The sequence below is a fragment of the Homo sapiens genome, chromosome 6 (genome assembly GCF_000001405.40).
Source record: "Homo sapiens chromosome 6, GRCh38.p14 Primary Assembly".
Taxonomy (NCBI): Eukaryota; Metazoa; Chordata; class Mammalia; order Primates; family Hominidae; genus Homo; species Homo sapiens.
This window is the reverse complement of record NC_000006.12, coordinates 118,728,921-118,743,827: the sequence shown is the minus strand read 5'-3', so window position 1 is coordinate 118,743,827 and position 14,907 is coordinate 118,728,921.

The following is a 14,907-nucleotide window of genomic DNA, read 5'->3' as shown; positions in this document are numbered from 1 at the left end:
AGAAACAGTGGATCCTGAGAGCATGCTGCCAAGAGAAGTAAAATGACAAACACCCTTTTCTAGGTGTCTGAGAAATGGGGGCCTTTTTGCTGTAGAATTTTATCTTGAAGCGGAATTTGTTTGTCCCACCAGATAGGCTTTTCTTGGCAGAACCAAAGGTGATTATTTCTTGTATAATCATATATGAATTTTTCTTAGCAACAAAAGTCTACACTGGGGATTAGTCAAAGATAAGGTCAGAAAATTAGTTCAGGGCATAAAGGTGTAGACCTTGAATGGCAGCCTTTGGAATATAAACTTTGCTCTGTTAATGAGCGGTTTTAAAATGCTTTTAAGCAAAGCATGCAAATACAGTTGATTCTTATTCATGGTAAGATTCCTAGAGCCTCTGATCACAAATATATATATAGAAAATATATACATATAATATATTATATAATATAATATACATATAATATATGTATAATATATACATATAATATATACATATAATATATACATAATATATACATATAATATATATATAATATATACATATAATATATATAATATATATATATTATATGCATATATATATTTTTTTTTAAAAAAAGGTCTCACTCTGTCTCCCAGGCTAGAGTGCAGTGCTGTGACCATGGCTCACTACAGCCTTAACCTCCCAGGCTCAAGCACTTCTTCCACCTCAGCCTCCAGAGTAGTTGGGACTACAGGCTTGCACCACCACAGCCGGCTAATTTAAAACAAATTTTTTTGTAGAGGTGGCATTTCGCTATGTTGCCTGGGATGGTCTTGAACTCCTGGGTGAAGCAATTCTCCCACCTCGGGCTTTCAAAGTGCTGGGATTACAGGCATGAGCCACTGTGCCAGCCAACATTTTCAACAATCGATCAATATGCAATCTTGTGTTAAGCGTATTTCTATTTGAAGATACTTTATTTAATATACATTGTTGATTCATTAACATTGAACCCAGGACCAACAGCACTGCAACTGACACTTGAAAGCAGCTTATCTAACAGATAATTTTCTCTGTAAGGCCCATTATAGCTTTCTTGCACTAGGAACACTAGAAGTTACTTCAGTCCTATGCTGAAAAAAGCAAAAAACGTGATATTAAGTAGACTATGCAAAGAACACTTATTTATAGTATGAGAAAGCATGAAACAAGAAGGAGGGTTTCACCTTGTTGAATCTCAGTGGAAGACATGCATATCAGGTGACTTGAAATTTTCACCTCTCTACACATCTGAGAGTGACCATTAAAGTGCGATGAGTATTGATATTGAGTTACAAATAAATTTTAGTGAGTAAGCAAATTCACAAATATAAAATCCACGAACTATAAGAATTGACTGCATGAGTTTTGCATTTTAAAAGAGAAATTCTGGTGCTACTGTCAGGAAAAACCGAATGAAAGTTGTGTTTTACACAGATTATGATGTGTTGGTTGGTGATTTAAGATGAAAGAAAGGAGAAGAGAAATCAGTTAAAAGGCTTTGCAGTGGGCCCACAGATGCTTCCAGTTAGAAATAATGCCTAGTAGCCGGGCGCGGTGGCTCACGCCTGTAATCCCAGCACTCTGGGAGGCCGAGGCGGGCGGATCACCTGAGGTCAGAAATTCAAGACCAGCCTGGCCATGGTGAAACCCCGTCTCTACTAAAAATACAAAAAATTAGCCGGGAGTGGTGGTGTGTGCCTGTAATCCCATCTACTCGGGAGACTGAGGCAGGAGAATCGCTTGAACCCGGGAGGCGGAAGTTGCAGTGAGCCAAGATGACGCCATTGCACTCCAGCCTGGGCAACAAGAGTGAAACTCCGTCTCAAAAAAAAAAAAAAAGAAAGAAAAGAAATAATGCCTAGTAGAGAAAATGATTAAAGTAAAATGTATCGGCCGGGTGCGGTGGCTCACTCCTGTTATCCCAGCACTTTGGGAGGCCAAGGTGGGGGGGATCACCTGAGGTCGAGAGTTGGAGACCAGCCTGGTCAATATGGTGAAACCCTGTCTCTACTAAAAATACAAAAATCAGCCAGGTGTGGTGGTGGGCACCTGTAATCCCAGCTACTCGGGAGGCTGAGGCAGGAGAATCACTTGAATCCAGGAGATGGAGATTGCAGTGAGCCAAGATCATGCCACTACACTCCAGCCTGGTCAACAGAGAGAGACTCCTCAAATAAAATAAAATAAAATAAAATAAAATAAAAAAATAAAATAAAATAAAATAAAATAAAATAAAATAGTGTCAATTACAATAAAGATTTATTCAATGTAACTCTATAATTCTAATTCTGGTAGTCTAAATATATGGAAATAAAATAATAGGAAATCAGAAATATGAAAAAAGTAGATTGTAGATGTTTGTCATAGCATTATTTATAGTAGAAAAAAACCTGAAGACAATCTAAATACGTAACAAAATGGTTATAGTTAAAAAAATTATATATAAGTACATATACATATATATATATACTAGACAGCATATTATATGGTCATTTAAAATAATTATTAAGAATACTATATGGAAACATAAAACAAATATCAGTAAGCTAACATCAAGTATTAAAAAAGAATAAAAATAATATATTTTAGTAACAACCAGTAGAAATCTATTCAAATGAAAAAATAATGTGAAAAAATAAAAATGTTTAATATGATTATGTGAATATGTCAAGATAGTGGATATTTTTCCATTAAAAATACATTTATTAAAAGTGAACTTGGGCTGGGTGTCATGGCTCACGCCTGTAATCCCAGCACTTTGGAAGGCTGAGTTGGGTGGATCACATTAGGCCAGGAGTTCAGGACCAGCCTGGCCAACATGGCAAAACGCTGTCTCCACTAAAAAAAAAAAAAAAAAATACAAAAATTAGCCAGGTGTGGTAGTGGACACCTGCAATTCCAGCTACTCAGGAGGCTGAGACAGGAGAATCACTTGAACCAGGGAAGTGGAGGTTGCAGTGAGCCGAGATTGTGCCACTTCACTCCAGCCTGGGTGACAGAGTGAGACTCCATCTCAAAAAAAAAAAAAAAGCGAACTTGGTTATATTAATAAAAATATGATTCGGTTAAAAAAGAAAAAATGTTCAAATATTTTAAGTGGAAGTTGGTAAGGAGAAAAAAAAAACAAGGTAATGAAATAATCAAATGTGGTTTGCCCCTTGGCTTTAAAATGCTCTTAATAAATACTTCACTTTTATATCCTGTAACCTGTCTTTCCATTCTTAGAGCAGCAACATGACTAAGTAGTTTACCACGTGCTGTTGTGATAAGGAACAACATGGAAATTTACTTTCTGTCCTCTACTACTGTATTATAACAGACAATGACTACATTTTTGGTCAACATTTTTCCTGTGTGCAGTATGTCTAGATATTTTCAATGAAATTGATGGCACAAATTATTCTATGGTTTTCTTTTTAGATACTCTCAGTACTTGTAGCACAAACAATAAAACGTGCTCTTTTACTTAAAATCTTCACATGCCAAAAAAAAAAGAAAAAATGCACATTAATAATAAATGGATTTCTAATTGTCTTAGCTCAGGTTACTCAAAGTCACTTGAAGATAACTTGTTGTTTTTTTTTTTCTTCTAAGCAGAAAATGAATGAGTGAGGGAAGGAGATGGAAGCTTGCCAATCTTGCTTTCTTCACATGAAATGCAATGCCACATGGAAGGCAAAGATGACAGACCACAGTTGCTACAATGGTAGCAAGAGAAAAAAATGAATGTTAATGGTCGATTTCAAATTAGCCAGCTCTTTTTCTTTTGCCTGCAGCTGGTGCCATAGGGGTTACTGAGTCTCAAGAGATTACTGGAGTTTAGGTGGCCGTAATTCATCCAAACACTATTCAAGAAAAAAGTCCTTGCTCTGTTCATTTTCATGAGACTTATTGTTTTTAGCATTCTAATTGTGTTTGTTCACTCCAGTGATGAAACAGATTTTTTCCCCAGACTGCTTTCCATCTGGTTATTTTATAATTGTAAACAAACTGCATTAGAAGTAATTTTTTAAAGCCCAAACTACCATCTTCTATTCTGTTTTATGTAGGTAAGCAGTTGAATGGAATTATTTTCTGAAATAATTTCTGAATGAAATTAATTATTATTGGTGCACATTTATTGTTTAGAATGTATATGTTTGTGAGAATATCTGTGTATACATATATGCATATATACAAACATAGACGCAGATATATACATATGCATGCATGCACCACTAGCCTTTCTCCTTGATTGGCCCTTTAGAGATTTTTTTATTGTTATTACTTCTGTATATTCTTTTAGACAGTCATCATTTTGGGACTTGGCCTGTGACTGCAGGTGTGTGGGAAGAAGCTGACATCACAGGAAGATGGGATTTGTTTTGACGACTCTCTCAGGAAGGAAATCATTGCATAGATGTGTCCTGGAGAACTCACTGAGCATGTGTGACAATGACCTTGCATGGAGCGAGCACACACCGCTGTGTTGGTCCCAGAAAAGCCAGCAAGGGAGGCTCCCTCCACTGTCTCTCTGCCCTGTGGTCCAATTAGGGAGGACCTAGGGCATGGGCCAGGCTGGGCCTGGCTTGGAAGGGCTTTCAGTGCGGTCACTGAAGATAAACTCACCCTACATCCGTTCTTTAAAATCAGTTCTATCTTCACGTAGAAAGGTGTGGTGAGACAGTGGAGCAGAGTAGGCAGAGGAGCTGGAATGGGAGATTAGCCTGCACCTTCTTTGTGTTCCCTATACATCTTCCCACACTAGCCTGAGGTCTCTCCTTTAGGGAAGGATGTCCTAGAACCTGGGAATTGGCTTTGTCCGCAGCCCCGTGAGCAGCCCAGGGTGGGACACTCATAGGAGTGCCTCCCCTTCTACACTCAGTGGTGGCCAGATGCTAACTGGTCCCCCACATCCCCAGCTGTACACTGGGATCCCCAGGACTGGCTGTTTCCAGAATCCCGAGCACTTCTGCTGCCTGGGAAATTTTGCATATCAGGGCCTCTGGAGAGTCATGGTGCTGAATGGGCTGGGAAAGTCATGCTGGGTCCTGTTTTAGCTACTAAGATATTATGGAGGCAAGACCAGGTAGAGAGTGCAGGAGTGGAGGAGGAGGGGGAAAGGCTTCTCTCTTTGTCCCCTTATAGAACACCCTGAGTGAAGCACATATCCTACCCTTAGGTTGGTTTTGAATTTGTTTGTTATTTTGGTGGTTGCTAGAAAAAAAAAAAAAAAGAACAGTAAAAAAAATTTTCTCCTAAATGCATACCCATTCAGCTATTCTTTTTTTTTTTTTTTTTTTTTTTTTTTTTTTTTTTTGAGACAGGGTCTCATTCTTGTCTGCCAGGCTGGAGTGTAGTGACACAATCATGCCCCACTGCAGCCTCTATCCCCTGGGCTCAGGTGATTCTCCCACATCAGCTTCCCAAGTAGCTGGAACTACAGGCTTGCACCACCACACCCAGCTAATTATTTGTATTTTCAGTAGAGACGGGGTTTCGCCATGTTGCCCAGGCTGGTCTTGAACTCCTGGGCTCAAGGGATCCGCTCCCCTCAGCCTCCCAAAGTGCCGAGCCACCACACCTGGACAGCTGTTCTTAATTTACAAGACCTTTTGAGGACCTCACCTCCTATTTGCATCAGAATCTGGCTCCATCAAGTATGTTCTCTTCAAATCTTCAGCTTCCTCATCTTTCCTGACTCCTTTTGCCTAGCAGCTAGCCCATATATACATGCAAGAGTACTAGCAAGGCTGTCTTAGCTAAAGAAAATGAACATTCATTTGAACCTCCGCTACTTCTATCATATGCTCTGTTGCTCCTTCCTTTTTATACAACTTCTCAAAAGATTTGTTTGCACCTAGCATCTCTACTCCTTTGCCCATCATTTGCTCAGCACACAGTGATCTGTTTTCTGAGCTTATCACTGTTGGAATTGCACTCGTTTTTCACCAAAGCTGTTCTGATTTTCAATCATATAAACCCTATTCCTTCTTTGTTTATATGGACCTCTTTGCTGCAGTGACATGAACATGTAAATCATATCTGAGCAGGGATTTTTGTGTTTTTTACTGCTGTGTCCAGAGTATTGGTTGAATGAATAAATGAGGGAGTTCTTTTTTAAGACTCACTAAAGAGTCCACTCCTGGGCTTCAGAGAGCCTGGCACCCTCCTAGTTCTCCTCTTTCTCTCTCCACCCCTCTTGGCCAGAAACACCTCTGCTCTCAGCACTCTTGTGTTTTGCTCTTCTTAGGGTTTCTTCCTCATTAGCGTCTCTTCTCATTCTACATGTTCTCTCTGAGTAATCTCATCAAATTTATGTTTTGGATACTCCTGGGTGCTGAGGACTCCTAAATTATCTATTCAGCCATGACCTCTCCCTGGAATTTCAGCTCAAATATCCAAATATCTGCTGGCCATCTTTCCTTGGTGTTCTATAAGTGCCTCAGTTCAACATTTCTAACACTAAACCCTCAGTCTTATCCCCAGATCTGCTCCTCCTCTGGGTCTCTTATCTGCAGCATCCCCATCCACCTTGTCAACAAAGCCAGCGTAGTGGGATGTCTAATGTGAGCGCCTGCTGGGCGTTAGACATGTCTTGAATCTGGTGAGCTTCCAAACCTTGTTCACACAAGGGATTGCAAGTCCTCCTGGGAAAGGACCCACCCTAAGGGAGGAATGGATGGACAGATAAGGCTGTCTTGGAAATGCTGTGTCTGGGAAGGCCAGTGGTCACTTTGACTCCTTTCTTTGTTACCATCAGTCTTTGACTTATGCCAGCTTGCCTCTTAAAAGTTTTAAACATTTGTCTCCGTACCCTTGTTGCTTGCCTTGTACTTGTTGCTTGCCTGTTTGCCCTCAGAGCGATTCCCCCTGCATTGTAGGAAGGTACGTTTCCCTTGTCAACTGCCTTCCAGGTAGGTTTGGCAATGGGAAGCACTGTTGGAAGGCTGGAAGGTGGGAAGAGGGGGAAGGCCAGGGTATTTCTCCTTCCCTTCTCTGCCTCTGATGGCGTCTTCCCCAGGACTGCTCTTCTTTCCTCGTGCCAGCCGGCCCCACCATAGTTGTAGCTCATACCAGCCAGCCCCAGCCTCTGGCTCCAGTGACTCTACCTCTTCCCTTTTCCTTCCAGCTTAGGGACAGCAGTGCTTCCTGCTTTTGCTATCCTCCAAATTGCTGTATTTCTCTCTCTTTGGCTTTTCATCAGTTTCATCACTAGATGAGCAATTCACCACATTAATTTTCCTCTCTTTGAAACACCCAGGGTGGTTTCCGTTTTTCTAACTTACATTCCCCTCTTACACTCACTATCACCTCCCTACCTCCTGATTCAGACCCTGGGCACCCCTCACCTACACTTTCTTTTCTTCTTTTTTTTTTTTTTGACACAGAGTTTCCCTCTGTCCCCCAGGCTGGACTGCACTGGCGCCACCTCGGCTCACTGCAAGCTCCGCCTCCCGGGTTTACGCCATTCTCCTGCCTCAGCCTCCCGAGTAGCTGGGACTACAGGCGCCCGCCACCACGCCCGGCTAATTTTTTGTATTTTTAGTAGAGACGGGGTTTCACCGTGTTAGCCAGGATGGTCTCGATCTCCTAACCTTGTGATCTGCCTGCGTCTGCCTCCCAAAGTGCTGGGATTACAGGCGTGAGCCACCGCGCCCAGCCCCCTCACCTACACTTTCATATCATCATTTCCTACCTCATCTTCCTGCCTCCAGGAAGTCTACCTTCCTCAAATCCACCATAGTGATGTGTGTGGAATACACATCTGGTCTTCCACGGCCATGCCTAAAACCCTTCCACAACCCCATGTACATTCAGGAAAAGTTCTAGATCTACGCTGTCCAATAGGGTAGCCACTAGCTGCATGTGACTATTGAGTACTTGAAATGTGGCCAGTCAGAACTGAGATGTGCTGTAAGGGTAAAATACTCAGATTTAGAACACTTAGTATAATAAAAGTTTGTAAAACCTATCACCAATTATTTTTAATACATATTATGTGTTGAACAGGTAAACTTTGGGACATATATGGTTTATTAAAATACATTATTAAAATTTATTTTACCTTTTTGGTAATTTGCTGTTTTTTAAATATCTCTGTTGCAAAATTGTAAAGCACATGTGTGGCTTGCATTCTATTTCTTTGGGGAAGCACTGCTCTAGACTACTTAAAATGGTATTAAAGGCCCTGATCTCACCACTCCCTCCTGCTCCAGGCTCACTGCTTACCACACCCTGCTTCCCATTCTAGGCTCTGTAAATACAGTCAGGTCCTGTCCCCCAAAGCCCAGACCCCCCATATCAATTAGAGTTGCACTCCAGCCACTAGGGGTCATACTCTCCTCCATCCACAGCCTCATCCCACCAGGGAGAGGAAAGGAACGCTGAGAAGGGTCCAGGACGAGCAACTAGAGTGCTGAGTTAGAGGGTGAAAGGTTGCACATTAAAAATTCTTGTGCCCTCCTGAAGGATTTTTCTGGATCTTCCCCTTAGCCATGGATTCTTCCTTTGGGTTTTTGTTGATGCTCTTGAATCACTCGCTCACCCTGAGGCTCATATTCCAACCTGGGCTCACATTCCACCCTGGAATATGAGAAACCAGATTCTCCCTTTCCTTCCCTCCACTTAAAGCAGGGCTGCAAACTCGCATGCATGGTTCCGCACAGCTTATCAGCCTAAAGCACTACTGTAGTAGACCCTGCCACTAATAAAATGGCCTTGCCCAGTGTACCTCCTGAGACTGTGGCACTCACTGGGGAGCCTGCAGTGGAAGTAGGATGAAAGATAGGCTTCTAGGTTTTAGGTATCTTGATCCAGACGCACAGCTAATGCACACCGTGCTGTCTCTTGGCTCTGAGCCTTTGTTTCTGTGTCTTCTGCTCCACCCTCCTCCCTACCACTTACTCTTCCTCCCCCTGCTAACTTCATTTGTTCTTAAAGGGTGCATTTTAGATATACTTCCAGGAATGCTTTCCCAACCTCAGTAATACTCTGAATATAACTCCAATGTTGGATTTAATTTATCTTATTTTTACTGATCTAATATGTGTCTCCCCCTCACTGAACTGTGAGAAACTTAGTAACAGCAACTGCATTTTGTTCATCTTTGATTCGAGTGCCTGGCTGTAGTAGATAATCAGTTAATAATAACAGGATAAATGGATGGATGGATGGACAGGTAGATGGGTGAGTGGATGATGAATGCTTTTCTGACACAATGTCTTACACATATTTTGGGATCAATAATACTGTTTGATTAATTGAAGGTTAGTTTCCAAGATTTGCTCATTAAACCAAGCTACAGAACCAAAATAAGAACCAGATTGTTGACCTTGCTGCCAGTATTTTTATATGTCAGGAATATCCTCAGATCTGGATTAAGTTTAGCGCCAGTTCAGAGGTAGAACAGACAAACATGGAGGAGCCAGATTGGTAGAGTCAGTGGCTGCCAGGGCTTCAGCAGGACAAGCAGCTCATAAGCCAGAGCTGTCTCTCTTAGATGTCAATTTACTAATTTCTCAATTAACAATTAAATGCATTACGGTTATTCTTATCTTGAGAGTGTACTGAATTGAGAAGTAGGAAGCCTGAGTTGTTGTTAACACCTGACAATTATTAGCTAGGTTTTCTTGAGAAAGTCATTGACTCTCTCTAAATCAATTTGTTCATCTGCAAACTGGGAGTAAGAATACACACTCTGCCTATTTCACCAAATTGTGGTAAGAATCAAATGAGAACAGGTATGTCAAGAGCTTTGTAAATCGCTGGGCACGGTGGCTCATGCCTGTAATCCCAGCACTTTGGGAGGACGAGGCGGGTGGATCACGAGGTCAGTAGTTCAAGACCAGCCTAGCCAAGATGGTGAAACCCCGTCTCTACTAAAGATACAAAAATCAGCTGGGTGCAGTGCCAGGTGCCTGTAATCCCAGCTACTCGGGAGGCTGAGGCAGGGGAATTGCTTGAACCTGGGCGACAGAGGTGGAAGTGAGCCGAGATCACACCACTGAACTCCACCCTGGGCGATAGAGTGAGACGCCATCTCAAAAAAAAAAAAAAAAAGAAAAGAAAAAGAACTTTGTAAACCATAAACTGTTATACAAATATTGGGCATTGTAATTAGATCTCACATTGTTTCTTAATTCCTCCTGTGATTTAGAAGGAAGTAGTGGAGTGAGATCATTATTTGATAGAAACATTTGCAAATTAAATTATGTCTTATCACTCAGGCTACTTGTCCCAATAATTCTTTAACCCATATTAACCTTAAAAGTTACTATTTTTATTTGGTAAACTTTTGAAATACTTTAGTTGTAAACAAATCTCCCTTTCTATAGAATCTAGCCTTTCTTTTTGTCATTTTGGTAGTCTCAATTGAATGCCCAGAGATACGCCTTTTAATTCTGTTTTGCTTTTTTTTTTTTTTTTTTTTTACAAATAAGACCTTGGTCCATAGTAAAACTATGCAATAGGTCTATGCAATAGGAACTACTTTTGCTGATACACAAATTTGCGTATGCATGGACATACAGGTGTATATATGTTGGTGTGTGTGTGTGTGTGTGTGTGTGTAGACTGGTCATCACTTCATTGAGAACTGCATTTCTTTTTTCTTTCTTTTTTTTTTGAGACAGAATCTCACTCCATCTCCCAGGCTGGAGTGCAGTAGTGCGATCTTGGCTCACTTTAACCTCCATCTCCCGGGTTCAAGCGATTCTCCTGCCTCAGCCTCCTGAGTAGCTGGGATTACAAGCCTGCACCACCACGCCCGGCAAATTTGTTGTATTTTTAGTAGAGATGGGGTTTCACCATGTTGGCCAGGCTGGTTTTGAACTCCTGACCTCAAGTGATCCGCCCACCTCGACCTCCCAAAGTGCTAGAATTACAGGCATGAGCCACCATGCCCAGCCAAGAACTGCATTTCTTCATTTCTAGGTCTACATTATCCTTTTCTATTGGTATTATGTTTATTTGAACAAATATTAAGGATGTTATTTAAATTATAACTTGTAGTAGACTGAATAAGATATCAAGTTCTAATCTCTGGAACCTGTAAACGTTGCCTTACCTGGAGGCAAAAAGGTCTTGGCAGATGTGATTAAATAAAGGATTTTGAGGTGGGGAGATTATCTTGGATTATCCAGGAGGGCCTTAAATTTAATCACAAGTGTCCTTATAATATAGAGGTAGAGGGAGACGACACACTGACGAGGAGAAGACAACAGGACCACGAAAGCAGAGATCAGTAAGATGCAGCCCCAAGCCAGGGGATGCCGACAGCAGCTAGAAACTGGGAGAGGCAAGGAGTGAATTCTCCTCTAGAGCCTCCGGAGGGAGGGAGGCTCTTGACACCTTTATTTCAGCCCTGTGAAACTGATCTCGGATTTCTGCCTCTAGGACTATGAGAGAATACATTTCTGTTGCTTTTAAGCCGCCAAGTTTGTGAGAATTTGTTACAGTGGCATTAGGAGACCAACACAGACTCTTCATGTAATTGGGAAGAAGGACACTTGATTATAAGAATTATCTATAGGTCAGTGATTCCCAGCCTTTTCTTCAAGCGTTTAATAAAAATGTGTTAATTGAGTCCCATGAGGTGCCTGGAATGGTGCTAGGTGCAGTGAGAAACATAAAAGAAATTACCTCCTAGAGGGGTTTGTCATCTAGTTGAAGAATCAAAACAAAACAGTCATGCATCACTTAATGATGGGGGTGCATTCTGGGAAATGCGTCATTGGGCAATTTTGTGATTATACTAAGATCATAGAGTATATACTTAGACGAACCTAGGTGGTAGAGCCTACTATACACGTAGGCCATATGGTATAACCCATTGCGCCTAGGCTACAAACCTACACATGATGTTACTGTACTAAATACTGTAGGCAACTGTAACACAATGGTAAGTATTTATATATCTGACTATAGAAAATGTATAGTAAAAATATGGTATTATAATGTTATGGGACCATTATCATACATATGCTCTGTCATTGACTGAGATGTTTTGTGGCACATGACTGCAGATGTAAAACAGCACACAATTCAAGACAGTGGCTAGATTGGGGATAAATTGTTCAGCATGCGGTTCTAAGTGAAGTGAATGAATGAGCAAAAGCAGGGGCCAGGATGAATGGGGAGCCTGGCAGACCCTTGGGTGGACAGCTTATGATGGGAGAAAGTAGAAGTAAGTTCAGTGTTTAGGAAAGGTTTCTCTGCAAAGGAAAAATCAAACAGTGGAATATCAGCCAGATATTAGAGGGAGCAGGGGGCCATTGACTGTTTTGGCACAGAAAGGTGAAACAGTGAAAGTCGTATCCAAGGAAGACTAATTTGTTTCTGATGGAGCAAGCTGTATGCTCTAGTTTGTTTATCGGTCTCCTTTCTCCTAATAGGTACAGTATGACGTTAGCTTTTAGAATCTTTTTTTCTGAGAAACGTTTAAGAAAGCTGTGATGCTGCTTAAGATAATTAGGAAAATGTTGTGATGTCATAAACAAGAGCTACAACTCCTTCTCTCAATATTCCCAATTAGATGTGATTGACAGATCCTTAGATCTCACCAGCTTGTGACTTATAAACAACAGCATTCTCCTTTTAGTATTTAAGTTACAATAAAGCTCCCTTTCATAGGCCACAGAAAGCCAATTTTCCTACCGGTCTCACCTCTCAGGTGGTTTTTGGGCATCCTGGAGGAAGGTGTATCTATAGAACCCCAGCTTTCTGGAGCTCCACAAATCCTCCAGTCCATCCTGCATCTGGCTTGTCAGGCTGCCTGTACCCCTGTACCTGTTGCTCTGAGCAGGAACTCTGGTTACTCCCTTTAGTCCTCACAACTCAGCCAAGACCAGGCTGTGGTGGGACAAACAGACCTCCAGCATAAGAAGCAGCATGCACTGCTGCCGGAAGGGAGCTTCTGGGGTCATGCACCCAGATCCAGTCTCAGAGCAAAGGGATTTGAGAGGAAACTTCCATCAGGCTTCCACATGGCGAGGCCAGGTCAACCCCCACTGAAAACCATGGCCAGGTATCTACCTCCCTTGGAGTCCAGTCCCAGGACGAGAAGTTCTCACACTAGGTTGGTTGACATTTCTCTTGAGTAGACTTAACCCGCATGCTTGGATAGGCTTCCTTCATGGCCCAGACAAGGCACTAAAATGGTTGGTTATATGTTTCCCAGACTTAAATATCACCTTGTGGGGGACATTGTTGTGAAATCTGGAGAGCCCTGGTCCAGGCCTGGCCCACCCCACATGGCCTTCCTCAGCTTTAGGTGAAGCTTAGGGTGACGGCATGGCAGGCACTGCTCCCTCCTGCCGTGGCCCAGGTCGCATACCTCCTGTGGGACATATTTGGAACCAGGACATGCAAATAACTTCAGGAAACAACAGGAATCTTCAAGGACAGTCCAATTTAAGCCCAACATTTCCTAACACCCCTCTTTAACTTGATGAGAGCAAAGTCTCATGAAATGTACACTTAGTTTTTATTACTGTGCAGAACTTTTAATAAGTCAGGTTGCAATAGCCTTAGTTCAATGATGATTTTATATTTTTCCCAAAACAATGTGTGCATTTTTGCTCCATATTTGTAAGAAATAAAGGGCCCATTAATTATTTCCAATGAAAGGAAATGTATTAGAGACAGAAATCTTTAACTGGTATTCCTCCAGCTTTTGAGAATAAATTAAAATCCTGTCTCCTCCATACTCCATTTCATACTTATTGAACCCCAAATGTGATCCAACACATATTTATGTATTCATTCAACAAATATTTTTATTTTATTTATTTTCATTTATTTATTTTTAAGACAGAGTCTCATTGTGTTGCTCAGGCTGGAGTGCAGTGGCACGATCTTGGCTCACTGCAACCTCTGTCTCCCAGGTTCAAGCAATTCTCCTGCTTCAGCCTACTGAGTAGCTGGGACTACAGGCGCATGCCACCACGCCCAGTTAATTTTTTTTTTTTTTTTTTTTGGTATTTTTAGTAGAAACAGCGTTTCACCATATTGGCCAAGCTGGTCTTGAACTCCTGACCTCAAATGATCTGCCCACCTTGGCTTCCCAATGTGCTGGGACTACAGGCGTGAGCCACCATGCCCAGCCCATTCAACAAATATTTTTAAATGCCTACTGTATCAAGCACTGCTGCAGACACTTGGGGATACAGCAGTGAATGAAGTGAAATCCCTGCCTTCAAGGTGTCTGGTGTCTACATTCTTGTGAGGGGAAGCAGTGAATGCACAAAAAATGCTATGCTTTATCAATTACCAGGAACAAATAAAAACCAGAGTAAAGGGATAGAGAGTTACAGTGAAAGGATATTTTCAGAAAGGCGAAAAGGGGAGGTTTTTCTGATAAGAATATTATCTGAGCAGCGTCCTGAATTAGGGAAGGGCTACAGCAGAGACTGCCACTACCCTCCAGCATCCTTTTTCCTCTTATTGTTTTTATTGATAGAGCCTTCAGAGTTTTTACTAAGCAAATGAATGACAGCTCCTGACTACATTTCCCAGCTCTCCTTGCAGCTACGTGTGCTGCAGACTAAGTTTGAACCAATTTGAATGTGAACAAAAGTGGTGTGCAACTTTTAGGTCATCTCCTTAAAGGCACATGTCTTCTTCCTGCTAACTGGGATATGGTGATAACTGGATCAATCTAGGCTACCACATACTGAGGACGGCAGAGCTGACCTGCCATCTCCACCTTTACATGAGAGAGAAATAAAATTCTGGTCTTGAATTTAATCACTGTATTTTGTTACAGTTGCTTAGCTAATTTGGACAACAATTTGTGTGGGTATCTAGCGAAGCACCTTTCTAAGCAGAGGAAATAGTGCCCGCAAAGGCTTAAAACAGGAGCTTACATGAAATGCTCAAGGAGCAGCAAGGAGGTCAGTGAGGCTGGAATGGAGTAGTAGGAGATGAGA